Source organism: Homo sapiens, chromosome 6 (genome assembly GCF_000001405.40).
Source record: "Homo sapiens chromosome 6, GRCh38.p14 Primary Assembly".
NCBI classification, from domain to species: Eukaryota; Metazoa; Chordata; class Mammalia; order Primates; family Hominidae; genus Homo; species Homo sapiens.
Genome location: NC_000006.12, coordinates 126,957,024 through 126,979,612, shown reverse-complemented (window position 1 = coordinate 126,979,612; position 22,589 = coordinate 126,957,024). Strand labels below are relative to the sequence as shown.

General features: G+C 35.5%; 1 long non-coding RNA gene across 7 annotated transcripts in view, besides 1 other annotated feature; it reads left to right on the top strand.

Annotated features, from left to right (window-relative positions):
- The window catches only part of LOC105377989 (uncharacterized), a 347,578-nt gene that overhangs the window by 233,232 nt on the left and 91,757 nt on the right, over positions 1 to 22,589 (top strand). The window lies entirely within an intron of this gene.
- Positions 2,818 to 3,388: an enhancer, noted in NCBI's record as "OCT4-NANOG hESC enhancer chr6:127297370-127297940 (GRCh37/hg19 assembly coordinates)". NCBI's record gives its function as "activates a minimal SCP1, AML or CMV promoter by ChIP-STARR-seq in naive H9 embryonic stem cells {active_cell/tissue: H9 hESC(naive)}" and the evidence as "EXISTENCE:reporter gene assay evidence [ECO:0000049][PMID:30033119]".

Here is a 22,589-nt window from a genome sequence, read left to right as displayed (position 1 = left end):
TAAGGGAAGATAAACTACAGTTTTTATGACCTGTCTTGAGAGAGAAAGGGGAGCATTAGAAAGAAGGTCAGAAGGCCGGGCGCGGTGGCTCACGCCTGTAATCCCAGCACTTTGGGAGGCCAAGGCGGGTGGATCATGAGGTCAGGAGATCGAGACCATCCTGGCTAACAAGGTGAAACCCCGTCTCTACTAAAAATACAAAAAATTAGCCGGGCGCGGTGGCGGGCGCCTGTAGTCCCAGCTACTCGGGAGGCTGAGGCAGGAGAATGGCGTGAACCCGGGAAGCGGAGTTTGCAGTGAGCCGAGATTGCGCCAATGCAGTCCGCAGTCCGGCCTGGGCGACAGAGCGAGACTCCGTCTCAAAAAAAAAAAAAAAAGAAAGAAAGAAAGAAGGTCAGAAGAAGGTCAGAAAGGGACTTTGCTTCTGAAGTCCTTCTAATGTCCTTCAGTTCAATGTACTCAGCGTAGCAAAGCATGATACTTTGTGGTTACATTTTCTGAGCCCCAACAGTAACATATTTAAGTTTCCTATTCTTATTGTTGAATGGTCTATTTCTCTCTTCAATTTAGTCTGTTTTTGCTTCATGTACTTTGGAAATCTGTTGCTAGGTGCATTTATGTTTATATTAGATTGAAGCAAAAGTAATTGTGTTTTTTGTCATTAAAAGTGTTATATCGTTTTTCCCCTCAAGTTTTCATTACTGCTTTATTTTGTGTTAAGTAGATATTTTCTAGTGTACCATTTTAATTTTTTTGTTTCTCTTCCAATGTTGTTAAGATATTTTAATAATGGCTGCCTTGGAGCTTACCATAAAATTTTAATTTATAACAGTTTTATTCAGAATAATGCCAATTTAATTTTGACAGTACACAAAAACATTAAAAGTAATGGCAAAAACCTCAATTACTTTTGCAATAACCTAATAATTACCATATCTTCTTAATAGATTGACATTTTTATTATTATAAAATGTCCTTTGTCTCTGGTAACAATTCTTGCTTAAAATCTATTTTGTCTCCTATTAATGTAGTCACTTCATTTTTTACACTATTTGCAAGATGTATCTTTGCCCATCTTTTTACTTTTAATCTACTTATGAGTGAATCTAGAATGAGTCTCTTTTTGACAGAGTTGGTTTATTTATTTAGTTATTTATACCATTTTGGTAAGCTCTTCTTTTTGATTAGAGAGTTTAATCCATTTACATTTAATCTAATTACCGATAAGGTAGAATTTACATTTGCCATTTATTTTCTAAATGTGTTATATATTTTTTCTCCTCAATTCTTTATTACTACCCTCTTTTGTGTTAAGTAGATATTTTCTAGTGTACCATTTTAATTCCTTTGTTTTTCTTACAATATGTTTTTGAGATATTTTCTTAATGGCTGCCTTGGAGCTTAGTATGATTTTTTAAAAATTTGTAACAGTTTTGTTCAGATTAATGCCAATTTAATTTTGACAATACACAAAAACATTGCTTCTGTGTAGCTCTGTTTTCCTGCTCTTTTATGCTCTTATAGTTACAGTTACATATTACATATTGTGTACCCATCACCTTCGACCTATAATGATTCCATTTTGTAGTTGTTTCTAAATCAGAGGGAAAAGGCATTACAAATACAAAATACAGTTACATTGTCTTTTATATTTATCTTGTATTTGACTGTATTTGTGCCTTTTGTTTCTTCATATAAATTTGATTAGTGACCTAGTGTTCTTTCACAATTTGAAACAGAACTATAAGCAAAAGCCACGACTTCAGTACACTGAAACCTAAAATTCAATGACATGGGAAAATATTTATAATATATTTATAAATTTTTAAAAGTCAGTTATAAATCATCAATATGTGTGCTGTAATCTTATGTATATAAAAAGTAAATATATTTTATATAGACGTAGAAAAATTTAAAACAGACAAGAAATGTATATGCCAAATTATTAACAATGTTTATCTCTGTGTAGCAGAAATAATGGTAATTATTAAATTTTAAATGATTTTTTCTTTGTTTCTAAGTTTTTTCTTTGAATATATATACCTTATATAAAAAGAAAAACATCGGTGTGACTACTTCTTAATGTATTAGTCCTCAATAAGATGTTCACGGAGAGATTAAAAGAACATAGTATTGAAATAATTTGTTCAGGTCATTCAGAGTTGTATCTTAAACAGTCTCTTAACCAGAACCCAACTAGAATGTAAGCTCTTTAACACTTATTTATATAGCTTTACATCTACAGAATGTTAAGTACACATGCACATGCAATACATGTTTGTTCAGGATATGAATCAATGAATCAATAACTCGGTGAATGAATATATGAATAAACAAATGAAAATGATTATAGCCTATATATGCGTTGCTTCTTCTGAAGCTACTTGGAAGAAATTACTTGTTAGAACAACACTTGAGACTCTTTAGTTGCAATTCTGAAATGAATGATTTATTGCTTTTAAAACAGTATGAGATACTAGGTGAAAAGCTGTATGTAAATGCGAAATATTATTTTATTAATTGTGACTTGTAGAATGATCTGAAAGATTCATAACATATAGTGATTGCCAAAAGCAGCCGAGAAACCCAGTTTGCTTTTGACAAATAAAAGTGAAATTTGGAGGGGAAAAAATCATATTCAAAGTTATTCTATATAAGCTGAGACTTACCAGACTTACCATGCCAAATGAATAATATTTACTTTCATTTAAAATTTATATAATCCAACCATAGAAAGTTTACATAGCAGTATTAAATATAGCTATTATTAATTTATACCGTGGGGCCATGATTAATGTTTTTTCTGCCCTAAGACTTTATTTTTTTTCCTCTTTTTCTCAAACATGTTTGGCATTTAGAAGTTTTAACGTAATTTCCCCCTTTGGTTTCACCTGGGGTCTCTGCTGTCCCAGAACCTCCTTCTGACCTCAGTGTTGTGTTTTCATTTAAAATAGGGCATGTATATAAATGTCAGCAATACAGGGCAATTAGAAGTTTGAAAAGGGCTGTAACATAAACCAGCATTATAGTGAAATGGATATTGCCTTAAGCTGCCTGCAGTTCACTTGCTGTTGGAAAGACAATATCCTGCCATTCTCCCATGGTGGCCTTCAGTTGAACACATTTGGCTGAGGATTGACCCATTATTAAGATAAGTCTCTGCCTGGCTTGAAACAATGAAGAAACACAGAGTGAGTGAAGCCAGCAAATTGGGCTGGTAGTTAGCAAGCATTGGGCAGAAATGTGACACTGGATTAGACTTTAATAGCTGTCTGTGGTGCTATCTGTGAAATCCAATACTGTCCTGATTCCCTTGAATTGGACAGTACGTACATGCTCTTTGGGCTTGTCCAAAGTTTTCAGGTTTTTGAAGGAACTGCTATTTATTTATTTAGGCATGTGTTTATGTTATTTTTATTTTTAACACTGCCACCAATAACAAGACAAAAGAGTTTAGCACTCCTGACATTAGCTTACGTTTATTGATTTTCATTTTCTCTACTGCTAGGAATCCAGACCACGAACTGTTTTTGCAAAGTTAGAAAATGGAATATGTTTTTACACAAGGCATATCATATTGTTCCAATTTACCCACTTCCAAAGATGCTCGACCTTTTTGCACTCAAGGATGCTTTCTTTCGCTAGCTGGAGGCTTTTCGACACACTGTCAGCTGAGCTCTCGCTTGCTCCATGTGACCTCAGAGCAAATTTTCAAACAAGATAAGGTTGCTGTTGAAAGTCTCTCCTGGGCTTGCAAACTTTGTCCTGCCTGTTCTGGTGTTTCGATGAATAACAAAATGCAAAAGGGTACCACGCCTTTCCACATTCTATGTACTCTGGGTCAAGACCTTTTTTTTTTTTTAAGACCACATGAGGTTTGGTGGTAAGGAGAGAACAAAGTTTGGGGGACAATCTACGAAATTACCTGTTTTTTTGCTCTTAGGATGAGTCATTTTAATTAAATATATCTCCGGTGAGGTGTTTCCATGATCCTGACTTTTAGTTCCTTAACAACATTTCACCTTGTCAAACTCAGCTTTGTAAAACTCATATGCAAAGCTGAATTGAAATGAGGGAATCTAATTGAGTGTAGAAGGGAAACCTATATCACCGGTTTGCTTGTAAAAATCAAGGTTTCTATGCAGGCTATGAGCTATAGTTTTGGCTGTTGTAAGAAAGACTTTTAAAAATCCTTGCTGTCAACATGCTTTTGAGGTTTTCCAGACTTCAGGGAAAGTTAAATAGACCATGAAACATATAAGAAAGTATGCCTGGGCCATGAGAATTGGGAGAAACTAGAATGGTCTACAAGTGAAGTTGGTTGGATCTCTCCTGCTGGAAAAGTTTAGTGACATTTGAATTCCTGCACCATTTTGCTTGAGATGGCTTAAGTGACACAGGTGTCAGAGTGCCTATGATGGTTTAAATTCCAACTGTCCCTAGGCAAGTATGTGGATTAAACAGCTTTCCACAGTCAAATTTACCTACTCTATTTCAAATTCTATGTAAGTGCTCTTTCTTCACTTTCTTCGCATACTTTTCTATATAACTAGGTATGATTGTTTCCAAACAGATACATAACATCCTTTTACAGTAAGTACAGTGTAGAAATATTTCTCTCTAAGTGAAGAAATTGGGCCTCAGAGACAACTGGAATGGTACCTTTGATGTGCTTCATGAATCAAGATGGTTACTACATTACTAAGACCAGAGAAATCTAAAACATTAAGATTGAAGTCACTTGAATTTCATTGTTTTCATATCATCCTGTTTCCCAATATTCTCAGCCACACTTCTGCATATGCCTAGCAAAATCCTATTTTCAGACTTTGTAACAGCTATTACAACATTTTCTTAATATTTGCAAAATGCCTACTCACCCCAGCTTTCCTCCCTTTTTATCAATAGGCTCACTCATATTAACAAAGAACATGGAGCCCATTCTAAACTTCCTCAGGTAAAACTTTCTCAACATTTTGGCCTCAAACCAATCTATATCTTTATCCGTCATTTCTCTTCTCATAGAAAAGGCAGATTCCACCTCTGCAAAGCTACACTTCCACTTGTGTACTTGCATCTTTCCCATTCCTAAGTCTTGATCATCAATGGCGTTCTTTTTTTCCGGTGGCCAGAAGTGTATGTAAATTGCTGTCACTCTACTTCCTTCCCAGAACTTGGCATTTTAAATCTTTTAATTTTTAGTCACTTTGGCAAGTATATGGTGGTATCTGGTGTCTTCAATTTGCATTTTGATGATTACTCGTGAAGTGAAACTTTAAAAATATGTTTTGGCCACGTAGATACTGTGTTTTTGAACTATCTGTTCAAGTGTTGTTTCCCTGCTTTCTCTGTTTGTTTTGTCTGATATTCCAAAACCTTGTATGTAGTCCTCACTGTGTCTTCTCTACTTTTGCAAAGTCCCAAAGCAAAGTGAAGAGGATTCACTAGAGCCATCTTCCTTGGTAAGCCCTAGACTCAACTACAGTACTCCTACTCCCAAGAGGCTGTCAAAACCATAGCTCAATCTTCCAGAACCTCCCTCTTTAATTGTCAAACTCTCCTAGGGTAGAGTAACCCTAAATTCTGTTCTTATCTTCCTGGGCCTTTGTCCTTATTTTAGATTGTTGGATGGTAATGTTATGATGTCTTATTGGTTCTCTAATTTAAGGATATGATTTGTTTTATTTTAAAATATTTTATCTAGTTTGTTCAGTAGTCTTCAGTTGGAGACAAATTACCTACACTTCTATTAGTAGGAGGAGATGTCACTCTTCCTTTTTTTTATGTTGCTGTTTCTTGGTTTTAATCACCAGAAAGTTACTTGAAAGGCTGTTTTTCCTCTGCGTTGCCTCTACACTTCTCCTGACTTTGTCCTTGTCCTTCTTCTTTAAACTCTCTTTGTGTCTTTTCATCTAGTTTTATGCTTTCAACTAACAGAGCTCAAATCTGTATCTCTATCCTAATCTCTTTGTTTTGAGTGAAAGACTCCATCTCCAGGCAGCCCAATGGACATATCCATCAGTATATCCTGAGCACGGCTCAATCTTAAATGATCAAATCTACATTTTTATTAAGCTCATTCCTACCCCTGGCCGGGATTTAATCATGTTCTTATATTTCTTAATTTGTGGATGGTGTCATCAATAAGTACTGTCACTTTTTATTAATGTCGCTATTTTTCCAAATTTGAATCCTCATACTCCTTCTCTGACTCCCTGCTTCCAATCTAATCAATCATTAAATCGTGTTGATTCTTTTCATTGATACTTCTCTAACCATTCTCCATTTCTTAAAACCTTAGAGACATAAAAGTAAATTTCTTAGACAACAGACACTAAAGCTGGATTATTTGGTGAACTGTTAGCTAAATGACCTAAAGCAGATTACCTAACAACTCTGTGCTTCTGTTTACCTACCTGCAAAATAGGCATGATAACAATAATACCTAACTAAAGAAGACTGTAAACAACGCCACAATCTTTTCCTCCTCTCTCTATCCTTACCCTTTGCAAAGTGACTTTGCAGCCCTTATCATCAAGAGATGAAGTTGATTTCCCCACCTTAGAATTTGGGCTGGACTGTGCCCTGCTCTAGTTAATAGAGTGAGGAAGATATGATAGTATGTCTTTTCTCAACCTAGGTCTTGAGAGGCCTTGAGTGCTTCTGCTTGCTCAAAATTTGCCCGGTTACCATGTGAATAAGTCGGATTCAGGCTTTGGTGAATGAAAGACCATCCAGAGTAGAGACAAACCTTCCTAGCTGAAGCATTCTAGTTCAGCCAGCCCCCAGCCAACCTGGCAACTGACCAAAGATTATGTGTGATCTCAGCCAAGCCTAAAAGAACTGCCAGGATGATGTGCTAAATAAATGGTGGTTGTGTTACGGCACTATATTTGGGGTTATTACCTAGAAAATACCAACTGATAACACTACTTCATAGGGTGGTAGTGAAGATTATATGAGTTAATATGTGTACATTGTTAGGACATTGCTTGGCAAATAGGTAGCATTATTTAAATGATAGTTATTGTTATTATTATTCTTATTTTCCTCTCTATCCCTAGAGGAACTCTCATCACCAATTAATTCTTTTCTCTTTTTTTTGAGACTGATTCTTGCTTTGTCTCCCAGGCTGGAATGAAGTGGTGCCCTATTGTCTCACTGCAACCTCTGCCTCCTAGGTTCAAGCAATTCTCCTGTCTCAGCCTCCTGAATAGCTGGGATTACAGGCACACATCACTGCACTTGGCTAATTTTTGTATTTTTAGTAGAGACTGGGTTTTGCCATGTTGGCCAGACTTGTCTTGAACTCCTAACCTCAGGTGATCCTCCTTCCTCGGCCTCCCAAAGTGCTGGGATTACAGGCATGAGCCACTGAGCCCAGCCTGTTAATTCTTAAGTGTTCCCTTTGCTGTTTATCCCTTCCCCTTCAAGTCTACCATTTAGATCTGTCTTGTTAGTTATCTTCTAAAATACAAGTTCAATCATGTCAGTTTCCTGTTTACAAATGAATCTTTACTAATTACATTTGAGTCTAAACTTCTTAGTTTAGTTGTTTGAGACCTATTTAATTTTGTCTTTTTATATATTACCTTAATTTATCTATGTTTTTAGGCATGACTGCTACCCTATATTAATTATCAGTAAAATAACTAAAAGTAAGACATAAATAGTGTAGAGACAATTACTTTTAGTTGACTCAATATGGCATTTGTGTTCAATTCTGTTAATACTGAGTTGTAGATGAGGAATATAATAATAATCCCAATATTTATCATATTAAAATAAGATTTGATTTATAGCACCTTTTCTATAAACTAATCCACCATAAAATGCTATCTGTAAACTGTTCCTGTTAGATTTATTTGCTATAAATATAACTCGTAGTGCATATGCATTGTTGGATAATGAAATGCTCTACTTCAGGAATTTCCAAATGCAGGTCCCCTCATTGACACTGGATTGTTGCACAAGAAAAAAGCCAGGGAGCTTTATAAAAATATGAGTATTTCAGTGCCATTTCAAAACTTCTGAGTAAGAATTTCTAGTGATATAGCTAGGAAATCTGTATGTTTTCAAATAACTTTTGGCTCATATACCTACCTCTGTTATAGCTAAGAACATTTCTAGTTATTTAGACTAAGTTCATTGAAAATTCTCCAGGAAAGAAAAAGCTTCTGTTTAGACAATATGAAATCAGGGACTGGAATTCTCTTTAGGTGTGAATAATTGTAGGCTGTTTGTTTTTTTATTTTACCAACTGTAGATCTGCTAATAACTTAATTAACCCTAGCAGAACATGCCAGAAGTATGGTAAAAGCACATTGCTTTCTAATGTGAATTTCATTTTGATTGAACTAAGCCAAATTGTGGATATAGAAACCGACTTTTAAAAAACATTTGAATTAATTTTGGAAATTCAAAGTTGATGGAATTAGAAAGTGTTCTCCAACCAAAATAGCATTTAAAAAAATCTAGAGCCTGATTTTGTTTTATCTTATTGGAGGTCAGTCTACCTTTGCTTCATATAACCTAAAGGTTAAAATATACCTTCAGGTACGAATTCCATGTGTGTCTGAAACCCTTCTTTTCTAAAGCTGTCCAGTACTTTAATAGGAACATGATTTCTTTTATTGTTGTATTAAGTGGTAAAGTGATTACAGGCTAACTTCAGTCCTGTGTGTGATAAGCCATCAAGTTATGCAACATAATAATGATAGATATACACTCAAATTTAATCTATCTATAGCAGCCCAAGAGTAATTTTTTTTGCTCTGAAGAGTCTTCATTTTGCTATGAAGAGTATCACCCAGAAAATGCATAGATAATCACAGGGGAACCCTCTTCACCCTGTTTAGACCAAGTTTGGAATTTTGACTCTAATCCCGTCTTTCCATATGTTAAATAGAGTATCCAAAGTACCCACCTTAGGCCAGGGGTGGTGGCTCACTACTGTAATCCCAGCAGGTTGGGAGGCCAAGGTGGGCGGATCACCTGAGGTCAGGCATTCAAGACCAGCCTGGCCAATATGGTGAAACTCCTTCTCTACTAAAAACACAAAAATTACCTGGGTGTGGTGGCACATGCCTATAATTCCAACTACTTGGGAGGCTGAGGCAGGAGAATTGCTTGAACCCAGGAGGTGGAGGTTGCAGTGATCCAAGATGGTGCCATTGCACTCCAGCCTGTGTGACAAGAGTGAAACTCCATCTCAAAAACAAACGAACAAACAAAAAACAGAAAAAAACAAAGTATCCGACTTAGAGAATTACTATAAGGATTTAATGAGGTAGTATATGAAAATATTCTTAGCCCTAACTTAGTAACCTATGAATGTTAGTTACTATAATTCAAAAATTATGTCGTCACCTCTTAATTATCATCAAACATAAAATGTAATTGAGTCTTACATAAATCATGTTTAACTTATGATTTATGATTAGCTTTATAATTCTGTAATGGAACTGACATTTTACTAGAAATGAACAGACAAGAATTGAATAAAAACTGCCATGAATAAGTAAATTTAGGCAGTTGCTTCAACTTCCCCCAAGCTTAGCCTTCATCTCTTGATATGGTTTGGCTGTGTCCCCACCCAAATCTCATCTTGAATTGTAGTTCCCATAATCCCCACATGTTATGGGAGGGACCTGGTGGGAGGTAATTGAATCATGGGGGTGATGGTTTTAGAAGGGGCTTTTCCCCCTTTGCTCAGCTCCCATTCTTTCTCCTGCTGCCCTGTGAAGAGGTGCCTTCCACCATGATTGTATGTTTCCTGAGGCCTCCCCAGTCATGTGGAACATTGAATCAATTAAACCTCTTTTCTTTATAAATTACCCACTCTTGGGTATTTCTTCATAGCAGCATGAAAATGAACGAATACATCCCTCAACTAAGGTCAAACTGTAGATGCTTTGTGCTTTACATAGATAAAATATGATACGGTATGTCAAAATTGTTCTGTACACTACATTGTTTTTTAAGGATAAGGTATTATTATTATCAACAACATCTCGATGCAAGTTCTCATTACATATATAAATATTTGTAGAGTCATTGTAGAATAGTTTAGGCACTTTTCACATCAACAGTATCAATCAATTCAAATAACAGTTTGAATAGTTCTATGTAAGTAGTAAAATCAGAAGTATTTCATAGAGAAATCTGGTCCACTGTGGTTTTAGTAATCGCCTTTCCAACAATTACTGTCTAAACTTTTTTTTTTGCATCATCTCTACGTTGTTGATTGTTGCTTCTAAGATATATTGCTATTTAACTTATCGAGTATTTATGTTTGGTGTCTCTCAACTTGGGAAAGCAAAAAAAGAAAAAAAAAAAAGGAAAACAAAAAAACAACTTGTCCTGGCTGGGCACGGTGAGTCACACCTGTAATCCCAGCACTTTGGGAGGCCGAGGCGGGCGGATCATGAGGTCAGGAGATCGAGACCATCCTGGCTAACGCGGTAAAACCCCGTCTCTACTAAAAATACAAAAAATTAGCCGGGCGTAGTGGCGGGCGCCTGTAGTCCCAGCTACTCGGGAGGCTGAGGCAGGAGAATGGTGTGAACCTGGGAGGTGGAGCTTGCGGTAAGCCGAGATAATGCCACTGCAGTCCAGCCTGGGCGAAAGAGCAAGACTCCGTCTCAAAAAAAAAAAAAAAAGAAAAACAACTTGTCCCAGGTTGATAGAAAGCAACTTAAGGGTAGGCATCATAATTTAGATTTCCCGTTTCTCTATTTTTTTCCTGCTCAGCTTTTGATAAATACGGCAAAATAAAAGTGAGGGTAAATGTATTTAAAGTCAAAATATTTGATTATCTCCCTCACTCACAGAAACAGAATCTTGAATAAAATAAAAATAATGTAAATGGTGGGGGGACTACGCTCTTTTTAGTCCATTGTTTTCATATTCATAGTAGCCCTTTGAAATAAAGGTTGAAGAGTGGGGTATAGTTTATTGAAGATTGTTTGGGCTTCCATATTTTTTCTAAGAGATATAAATTCTGGAGTTATCATGTATAAATCATTATTACCTGTTAGAGAATACGTTCCAAGATAGAACATGTATAAATTCTTGATTGAGGTGCTAAACTAATTTATACCTTGAATCATCCCTATTAGGAACAACAGTTTAGTTGGTTTATCTTGGTTTTCCCTGTCACTATAATGATTATCATGGAACTCTCTTAGCAAGCACCTGCTTATGTACAGTTTTCTCGTTAAATGAATGATTTTAGAAAACACATAGGATATTTTGTAGCTAAACACTAGAAAGGATATTTTCATATAGTAACTTCTGTACAAAGTGTTGGGCTTGAGAATGTCAATAATGCAACAGTTGAATATATTTGCTTTCCAACATTAAAGTATCAAGGCACAATATAAAAATAAGATGAAATTAATTTATAATCATAAAGTCTTTCTTTTAGGAGTAACATTCTACTGCTTACAAATTCCTTCTTTTTAATAGTTATCACAATGAACTTAAAAATAATTTACAAATAGCATGGCATGTCAAGCTGTGATTATGGAGCTTAATTCTATATTAAGCACAAGAGAAGTAGATGGTGTTGAATAGCTTTTTAAAGCTCGTGATTTTCTGGAGATTTCTGGTCCTCATTGGAGGAGACAATTGTAATAAAAAATAACCTTGGTACAGTCATCTGTTGGAGTAGTAATCTGAGAATTTGTGCTTTGCATATTTTTCTTTCTTTGGATACATAAAGTAGCAGAGCATGACTCCATGTGGGTTGGTTCCACTTTGTGTTTTGGCTTTTGTATTCTAAAATGGAATAGTTTTCCTTGGCAGACTCAGCAATAGAGTAAGTCTGGGGTAGGTAGAGTGCATGTATTTTATTTTTTTAAAGGAGAATGGGGATTTGCACAGTGACCCAGATGTGTGCTCTCTGAACTCCAACTGTCTGTGTTCAAATATGCACTGTGAAGTGAACAGGGTTTAAAAGGACCCCGTTGGATACCTTGGGGGTATTTCTTGCACAGTGTTTTGGCAGCATGCTCTTCTAGCTGAATTAGATTTATTGCTGAAGCACTAAATCTTCATTATACGTGACAACCTTATTCCCCTGCCGTCCTAGTCCCTTTCCCTGCATAGTCCTTTTGTTTTATTCCAACATCTTCTTTCCCTTCCCTAGCCCTGAGATCCCCAAATATTTTACATTCCAGTCTATCTCAGAGTTAAAATTGTGTTAAATTTGTGAATGTGTCATTCACAGATGTCAGAAATTGGAAAGCACAATAAAGGTTAAAAGATGTCTCATCCAATCCATCAATATTTAGCCAAGAGTGCACTGGAGCTTTTAACATGATCTATATGGCTGGATGCCTGACATAACTCTATCAGTGAAAAGCAGTCACAAGCACTCTGGCAAAGTGTAGTTACAGGTGTGTATTGAAAAAGAATACCATTTCAGGTGTGTGGTCCTGAAGCTGTCACTTTTCTTCTATCCAGCACCATAGGCCCGGGTGAGGAGCCAGCACAAATGTTCAATGGACTTAATCTCCTGTTGAATTGCTGTGGAATTTTTAATAACTTAAGAAAGACTAGACCAGATGGACTCTGGAATAAAGGGGTAAATTTAGAAATATCAAGAAAGCTGATTTTCTTAATCCTTGCTATACAAGAAATTTCACCTATTCCCAATTGCTTAGATCTACCTAGCTTGCTTAAAAAGACATAATATTGTTATAGATTCTTTCTCTGCTTACTGCAGTAGCAGTATATTGGAGAATTACTATCAATCATTACATAAAAAGTCAAAGTATCATGCTGGCATACTTAATACAGATACTGCATGAAAGTCATTCATTCATTCATTCATTCACTCCTCTATTCATTTAATAGTATTTATTTCATGCTTACCATGTGCCAGAAACTGAGATGTATAATTGTGAACAAGACCAATCAAATACACCTCTCTCGGTGAGATTACCACAAGGTATGAGATTCAGACCAGTAAATAGGCAACTTCAATGCCAGTGTTCAACAAGGGTAGTATGTTAGCTACAGTAATACAACAGGCTTCTAACTCAGACTGTGTGTGAGTGTGGAGGAGAGAAGTTAGCAAAGAGAAGGGCAATGTGGAATCTGAAATCTGAATAGTTAGTATGGTTGGCCATTTGAAATAGGTGGTGAATGAGTCAAGACATGCAAAAAAGATTAAAGATGAGAATGGCATGTGATATGGTTTGGCTGTGTCCGCACTGGAATCTCGAATTGTAGTTTCCATAATCCCCATGTGACACTGGGGGGACCCGGTGGGAGGTAATTGAATCATGGGGGTGGTTACCCTCATACTGTTCTTGTGATAGTGAGTGAGCTCTCATGAGATCTGAATGGTTTTATAAGGGGCTTTCCCCCTTTTGCTTGACATTTCTCCTTGCTGCTGCCATGTGAAGTGGATGTGTTTACTTTCCCTTCCGCCATGATTGTAAGTTTCCTGAGGCCTCCCCAGTCATGCAGAACTGGAGGCAGTTCTGTTTTTCTGGAACCTCAAGGATGAGGCAGGAAAGCAAAAGTGGGGCCTCTTAATGGAAACAGGATACTTTTAGATGTGAACTTGGTCAGGAACTTCTGTTGCACATGTGCTGTTCATAGACCCTGCTTGTGGAGCTCTTTGCTTTAAAAATGTACCTCATCTGCCCAGAGTGCTTCAAAACATTAAATGCCACTTTCAACTATCATAATGTTTGGTTTCTAGTATATGTTAAAGAGATTGAAATAGAGAGACAAAGAAATAACTCATAAGTAAATGTGTTCCTAACCCACTGAAAAAATAGACTTCTTTTGTGATTAAGAGGCAATATTATTGTTGCATCAATGAAAAAGATATTTTTAAAAACAACACATGAGAAAAATAAAAGATGAAATAAAACAGAAAATAAACCTACTCTGAGTAGAAAGTCAAAATATAGTTTATTCTAAAACTAAAGCAGGTAAGAAATCGTGATCAAAACAAAAAAGTTAAATAGGAGAAAACATTCTCTAATAAATAGAAATATACCAACCATAGTATGGACTTTTTTTGGAAAGTACTGTGGTCCCAGTCATGAGAACACCAAGTAGATGGCTCTGCCTTCATTTATCCATATTTTTGTGGAGGGATTCCTATAGATGCAGAAAAACATTATTCATTCACAATCCCGAAATACAAGTTTTGAATTCTTACGTGGTTTAAGTCAGCTTTAAATGAATTTAACAGTAGATTTGAGGACAAGTGCTGCTCCACATCACTCAAGGTCACCTTCCACTGAAGTCTGATCCCTTTCCCTAATGTCTGTAGCAGATGTGTGTAAGAATTTGGCCCACCGTCCTAAAGATTACCCGGTTTGTTGACGTCTTTTGAGTCCAGTCTTAATCCCAGAACTTTGACACAGAATTTGAATTTTAAATTGCTGGAGAAATTTCCTGAGAATACATGTCAACAAGTTGTCCAGGTGTTAAATATGTACAAACTGTAATACATACCTCAGAACTTGAATTGGCATACATTTATGCTAAGTTCTTCGTGGTAGGTTTGTTGAAAATGTTTGGTATTTGTTCATAAACAAGAATGGATTTATTACTTTAAATTTGGCTAAGATACAAATATGGTAACCCAGATTTTTTAGTAGAATGTCTAAATAAACTTCCCCAGGCATGTTTAATTATAGGGTTAATAAATACTACCTGTAGCGATCCCTCATTTGCCAAAGATTTAACTTCATTCACAAAACACAAAATGTAAAATGTTAACCTTTTGCCATGTATCTATAAAAGAGAAAGTAAATAGCATATCTGATTTAATAGTTTATACAGTATATTTAATGATAAAGTTTCTGTTGACAACATTCTTCTAATTTTTCGGGTGCGGTGGCTCACGCCTGTAATCCCAGCACTTTGGGAGGCCGAGGCGGGCGGATCATGAGGTCAAGAGATTGAGACCATTTTGGCCAATATGGGTGAAACTCTGTCTCTACTAAAAATACAAAAATTAGCTGGCCGTGGTAGTGTGCGCCTGTAATCCCAGCTACTCTGGAGGCTGAGGCAGGAGACTTGCTTGAACCCGGGAGACAGAGGTTGCAGTGAGCCGAGATCGCGCCACTGCACTCCAGCCTGGAGACAGAGCCAGATTCCATCTCAAAAACAAAAACAAAAACAAAAAAAACCTATTTGAAATACCATCTTCTTCATGAACTCTTCTCTGATATTTGCAAATCAAATTTGATATTTACTTTATTCTAATTCCTCACTACAATCTTTAATACCCTCCCCCTGATATTTTGTCTTGTACTTATTTGTGGACTCTAATCTGCTAACTTTTAAGATAGTGTTATAGGTTTGGTGTTATTTTTTAAAAACTGTCATCAATTGTCTTGTACCTCTTATATAATAGGCCCTCAGAGGAAATAGTGTTCTAGAAGGACAAATCTAAGTTTGAATCTTGTATTTGCAGTTCTCTAGCTGAGTGGTTTTAGGAAACATACTTAATCTCTCTGTTCCTCAGTTTTTTCACCTGTGCAATAAGAACATAACACATACTTGACAGTTTTGCCATTTAAATTCAAAAAGAGAGCAGATCTAAGTGCACTTAGAAGACAGTAAAACATTGCCAACTTCTCTCTCTCCTTTAGTAGAATTTTTCAATTTTTATTTGAATGGAACATCTTGTGTCTTTTAAGGTATATGGTTTTTTTGTACATTTGCTAATTTACAAAATACAACAGTTTTCCAGTTATTATAGCCAATTAGTTTAATTGACCTTTAAAAACCATTTTGTATTATTCTTATCTGGAAGAACGGCCTTGCCTTACATGTAAAGTGCAGTGATATGTACTGTTAGAGATACTTATAGCTTTCTGTTGTGCTCCTATGGAGATCCCCTGTGTCATGAAATGGCCTGTTGTTAGAAACAGACAGGAGTCAATGAATCAACAACAGCCCAGTGAGCTGTTATTTACAGTAACATTACAGCAATGATTTATGCTTATGAGGTTCCTAGGTGACAGGGGGACTGAGATTGTAAATTAATGTAGATTTAGATTGTTGCACAGGAGGTGCGGATGGCCTTTGTTTTCTATTTTGAGGCACAACAAAGGACAGAAGGATGACGTATTAGCCCAGACATCAGCTAAGCTCACATTACATTTAGCATTCTGGCCCATCTTCTGATTTCTCTTTCGTGTGAGGGATGCTTGCTATTTTATTTTCATATTGCGATATATGTACCCTCTTCTTGCAGCCCCGAGACTAACCCTAAATGACTGAGGACCTCCTACCCTATAACTTTCCAAATCCCAAGCCACCTGCTGTCCTTGCGTAACAGACTCAATGACATGCTTTCATTGTCGTGATCATCAGGTGCCTTCTGCTACTTGTACTTGAAAGTCACCAGAAGCATTTATGCAGATTATATGCACAGTCAGGGTGACCTCTGACTGAGCAAATGTCAAAATCGCCAGAAGAGGGTTACTGACCTGATAAAATTCAAGATGCTTATACAATTTTCATTTTTGCAAATTTGTCTAGGTGAATATTTCCAAGTCAGATTCACTCTTAATGTCAAGGTTAATGTTTTGATTTCTAATTTTGTTGTTTTAGGTGATCATTTGAGAAATTAAAAAAAAAATTAGAGCTATTTCTAAAAATATATTCTAAAATATTTTCTCTTTAAAAAACTTTCACAATGTTGATGTCTTTAATGTCTTACCATAAAAGAAACAAGGAAGGCATTTTAAAAAATATTACAGAGAAGCTTAATGACATCCTTCAAAGTATTCTGGATAGTACAGTTTGAAACCAGAATAAGAACCCAAGTCTTCTGAATCTTACTCCAGTGATTTTTGTTTTTCCAATTATAGAATTGCCTCTTCAACCATGTTTACATAGGCAATGTAAAAATGTATGTTTGACAGAGAAATTTAAAAATGGTTACATGTATTTGAATATGGTATACTCTCTATGCACACATTAATCCACGTAAGTAACTATTTGTCTTATTATTCCACAATATGCCTTCTTATTCCATATTTCAAGCAGTGTTTGACAGTAAATCCAAAATAGTACAAATAAATGAAATTCCAGAGCTGGGAAAAATATAGCTTGAACAGAATATCAAAGTATAAAAGAAGGTTAAAATATACTATAAAATAGAAAACATAATATGAAGTATGAAGTCACAACTAAGAAAAAACATGTATACACTATCAGTAAATGCAAATGACCTAATCTTTCCTAATATTAAGAGAAAAGCATTATCAGATTGGATCACAAGCAAAACCAACAGTAACAGCAGACTTATTTAACACACAGTGATTCAGAAAGATTGAAAATTATAGAATAGACAATGACGTACCATAACAATTCAAATACCATTATATCAGAATGGTTACAAACAGGGCACAAGTATTAAATGGGACAAAAAAGAATCTTTAGTGATAATAAATATTGCATTCTTCAATGAAAACATGACACTTGTGAGTATCTATTAACTAAAAACATAGCATTGACATTCCTAAAGCAAAATCAAAGTCAAACACTCACAAAAATAGACATAGGGTTCTTAGTAATCTTTCTCTACTAAATCTATCAAAGGGCTAAGAGGAGTAAATAAAAATTAATTGTCAATGTATTTTATGTATTTTTGCGTATGTGTGATCTTTTAATTTACTTTTAGTGACATCTGTTGTCAGGTTTAGCCATAAAAATTAAGCAATTCAGAAGTTTGTTTTCTTCGTCTATATGCTGAAACAGTTAAATAAATTAGAGATTTCTGCTCCATACACTAAGAAATAATCTTAGGCTAGTGCTTTGGGGTGGAGGGAGAAGAAGTTAGCAAAATACAAATTCTTTCCTTGCTTTTAGGACAATGAACCGTTTACATTTGTTTATCTTCTCGAAATTGTTTTGGAAATTTATGCTTTTCTAGAAAATCTTCCATTTTATCAAGATGTGCAAAATTATTTGAATAGGGTTAAATATATCACATGATCCTTTTAGTTTTTTCTTAATCTGAAGTTGTTTCCCCCTCGTCAATTTTTATTTGTGGATTTGTACTTTCTCCTGTTTTTTTTTTATATGCTGAGACTTTCCATAAGCAATTGTTTAGCTATATTTCATAGGTTCTGAGATGTATATTTTCATGTCATATTCTAACTATTCTTCCATTTTGGTTTAAATTTTCTGTTGTCATTTAAGGAAAGTTTTTACTTTTTTATTTCAAAGGGCCAGTATTTGTTACTTTTCAATTTGGCTATTTCTGCTTGTTTTGCATTGTGATCCGAGTATGCTACCTGTATCATTTCTGTTGTTTTACACGTATCGATTTTTTTCTATGTCAATATATAATTAAATCTTGTGAATGGTCATTCTCCTGGTAAAAAGGCACATTATTTGCTTCCAAGGCACATACAGAGTTTGTCACATCAATTAGAACTATCTTATCTCTTGATTGTTTTATTTAGGTCAATTGAAAAGATATGCTTGGAATCCAGGTATTCTGTGTTGCTGATCAATAGAAATTCTATTTATTCACTAGAATAAAGTAAACGATAGAATTGATATATTCATTGTGAAAATTGAGGATCCCAACCATGACTCTTATGTAAATAGATTGCCAAGCCTCTCTGCACAGAGGTGGCCATCATAGTATCCATAGGCGGTGCCAGGATTGTGTTAAGGCATAAATAAACAAATAAAAATAGAAGTCAGCCCATTATTTTCTACAATGTGTAAGTGAATAAACAATAAATCCTCAAATGTTAACAGCTTAACACACAGTTGGGTCGATTTCAACTTGAACTTTTTTCAAAGCAGCATTCATGATATGTCATCCATGTCCATTTGAAATCTAAAAAATGTACTCACATCACATTTAGTTGGTTAAATGAGTAGACTGGAAAGTCCACCAATATGAATTGGTTGCTGTCATTATCCTAATAAATTGACCAGCTGTATGGCCAAATCGGAAGGAGAAAACTTTACAGTATGCTCAATTTGTCTGGATCTACCCAATGAAGTAGAATCAAACATGGTCACTATATTTGTTTTGAAATATGTGTTTGGTAATTCTGAAATCTCAAGATTTTGGTAGAGGGTAAGATGCTTATTGTTTCTACTGATTGTTATTTTTCATAAGTATCACTTCTAGTTTTATAATCCTCCATTTTTTTCCATAATTTTCTTTTAAATTGATCTTATTCTTATTTTTTTAATGGTCTTAATTCTATAATAGTCCTTATGAGATTGTTGTATTTTTTCTCTCATTTTGTTGTAGGAGAGTAACATCCTGAGTTTGCAGGCACTCTTTCTTAGTATTATTTAGTTCTAATAGTTTGAAATCTTAGTTTTGATGCTCATCTGGGTAAGCTAGTTCTGATATGCATATTTTATTTCTCTCTCTCTCTCTCCCTCTCTCTCTTCTCCTCTGTTTATCCCTCCCTAGTTTACAGTTCCCTCAATTTAGCTCCTCCCCCATCCTGGGACCTCTGTTCCAGCACCATGTTTTTTATTGTTGACTTTGGGTTCTCACATAGTGATTAGTTTGGCATTTTGATAATGTCATCTACGAATCATCTTCTTACAGTCTCTTTAATCCCTCCAATGAATAGGGAACACTTTTATTTGTGTAATGTGTATCACTTAAAATTCCTGTGGTTTTTGGATTCATAAACCAATGCACCTATGGCTGTACCTTTTATTCTCCCCACCACTCTCTACCACCTCATACATATCAGTCAGTACCCTGAAAATGCAATCACTCCAGTTATTTCAGAGATCACATTTGATTCAGATAACTGGTTACACAGATGAGTTGAGAAGTTGAACAGTAAATCATAACAGAAATTACCAACAGTGAGAAGATGATGTCTTTCCTATGACTGAGGAGGCATGAGAACAAGTTGCTGTTATCAGAAACAAGCCACAGGGCCATGGGAACCAGCCTGGATGGGAGTTGGGATCATGGAGGGAATAGGTCTGCAGGAGCTTGGGGCAGGATGGAGGAAGATGTAAATAGAGAGACACAGTCACTGTCAGATGCCAGTAAGGCAGAGAGAGGAGGCACGTTGCCCTAGTGTTTATTTCTCCTGCTACCCAGTTTCTTGCCATTGCTTTACACTGGCCCAAACTAGCCAAAGCCAGCTATCAAGAAACCCTGGGAAATATGGCAATCTGCAATAAGACCAAAAGAAAAGGAGGAAATGCATCTGAGTACAAACAGGCAAATGACCCTCATACCTCTTTCACACCTTCTCACCAACACACATACTCTCTCTCTCTCTCTCTCTCTCTCCCTCCTGGTTGTTTCTGTTCCCTTCAGGTTCACAGAGATGTCTGTCTCAATTTTTCTTAATTTGGTTCCACCATTTTTTTTTGTTATCCAAAAAGAGATTTCTTTTTTATAACCACTGTATTCAGAGTGGAGTAGGGGTGGAGGAATACTTTCAAAGTATGAAATCACAACATGGGCTTGACTAAAAGATATCACATTATCTCTCTAGCCCTGGAGTTTCACTTTGTAGATTTTTGTTTTTTTTTTTTCTTAGGCACGATTGCTGAGTGAAAGGGCATTGGCTCTCAGTACAATCACATCTGGATCTCCGTTTCAGCTTCACATGAATAGTGTGATTAATTTTGGATAAGCTACTTAGCAATTTTCCTTATCTGTAAAATTGGAATAATTGATACTGACCTTAAGATTTCTTTAATGATTGAATAAAAAAGAATATCTAAATTGCCATTTTCTGTGTCAGGTATTCAGTGGGTTCTTGACATATGGTTATTACTATAATGTTATTACATTATTATTGTCCTAGTTAAGTGAAAGTATTACTAACCTTGATTTGTGTTTTCTGATATGTGACTTTATGTTATATTTATGTTATGTATTTTCTGATGTGAAACTTTTACCTTGTTTGACCAGGAAGCACTGATTAGTAGGACTCACAGTAGAATAAGCCATAACTAGTCATGTATCAAGCATAATGTGGTTCTTTGGTTTTGAGTGTAATGGATGTGCTTAGGAATTAGTAAGGTGCCTATACATATCATGATTTTATCAATTGAAAGAATATATCTTGCAACATGTTAGCACAGTCAGCAAAAGTAAAACCAGAAACAGTTATAAGAGAAAAAGCAGGTTTGTTCAAAGTATATTTTAATGTAGATAAATTCCCCAAATCAAAGATTGGAATTGTAGTGCATAACATTTCATAACTCTAAGGACCCTCTTTGTTGAATTAAAATGTTAATATTTTAATATTTTAAAGGCCTTTTGCAAATATTTAACTAACACATTCATATTTTATAGCCTTTGAGCACTAAAATTTGGTGAGATTTTTTTTTTTACTCTCCAAATGTTGACTAATGCTGGCATACGCAATCTAAAGGGATTAATAGTTTTCATATACATCTCCCTTGTCTTTCATTTTAAAACCTCATCAAAAAGTTTCAGCCTCTTTTTGTTACTTTTCAAGAACAGCTCAGTTGATACTTTGACCCATGTTGCTCAATTATTCTTCTTCAGAGGGTGTCTACTTAAATGGATTGGTTTTACATAAAAAGGATTTGACTACATTCGATATTAAAATAAACATCAATTAACATACTTGTTGGGTTTTTATGCTGCCAAATCATTGGTTAGACTGACTGCTTCCCTTTCCAAGCTTGTTTTGGCATTGTCAAAACTATGTCTGAGCTACCCAGACTCTTTCCTAACTTCAGAACCCAAGTGCTTGGTTCTAATACCAGGAGGCGATGAATCATTATGGTTCCGTCAGACTTCATAGGGCCACATAAATGATGTAGAAGTTAGAAGCCTGTTTCATTGTCTAATCCCCAGCCTGTCCCATTTTATTGACATTTCCTATTTGATTAACAGCAAATTCTCACCATCTTTAACATTGCTAATGGAAATATTCCATACAAAGGCTGAATTTGTACTATGTGGTAACTTTCTGTTGTTTCCAACATGAGCAGTCTTCTATGACTAAAAAATGTTCTGAAGGGCTGAAATTTCTACCAATGCACATATAAATAATTATGGTGGTTGCAAGTATGTTCCTGGGCAATGAGAAATTCAATTTGTCCTTGTCAAAACAAAACAAAAGAACCAAACACAAATTGGTTGGAATGTTTGAGTTAGTGGAAAGCATTCATCAGAGATGTATTGGAGAGGGAGATAATCAGAAAATGGCTTAACTACATCAGTTTTGCATTGATCTGACTGTAATAAATGCCTTTTTGTGTAGCTATAAGAATGGTGGTAGTTGTCTTAAGGTCAAAATATCCACAGGGAGTTTGTTGAGAGTGGTAAGAAGAAACATCACAGAGAAGTGAAACAAAGGAAAATGATTGATGATGTATGAGGACTTCATTCTGTAAGAATAATCTAAAATTTTTAGTATTGTTTTCTGGATGTTTTAAAGTCTTTCTTTTATAAATCAGAGCTGTGTTTAGTACAATATGGATCCAAGTGTTGGACCCCACAATATTTGGTTCATTGTGTGAAATGCAACAAGTCTTAGTTGCTGTGTCAAAAACCACATAAGTACTTATTCTCAAGACATATTCTCAAAATACTGAGAAATCAACCC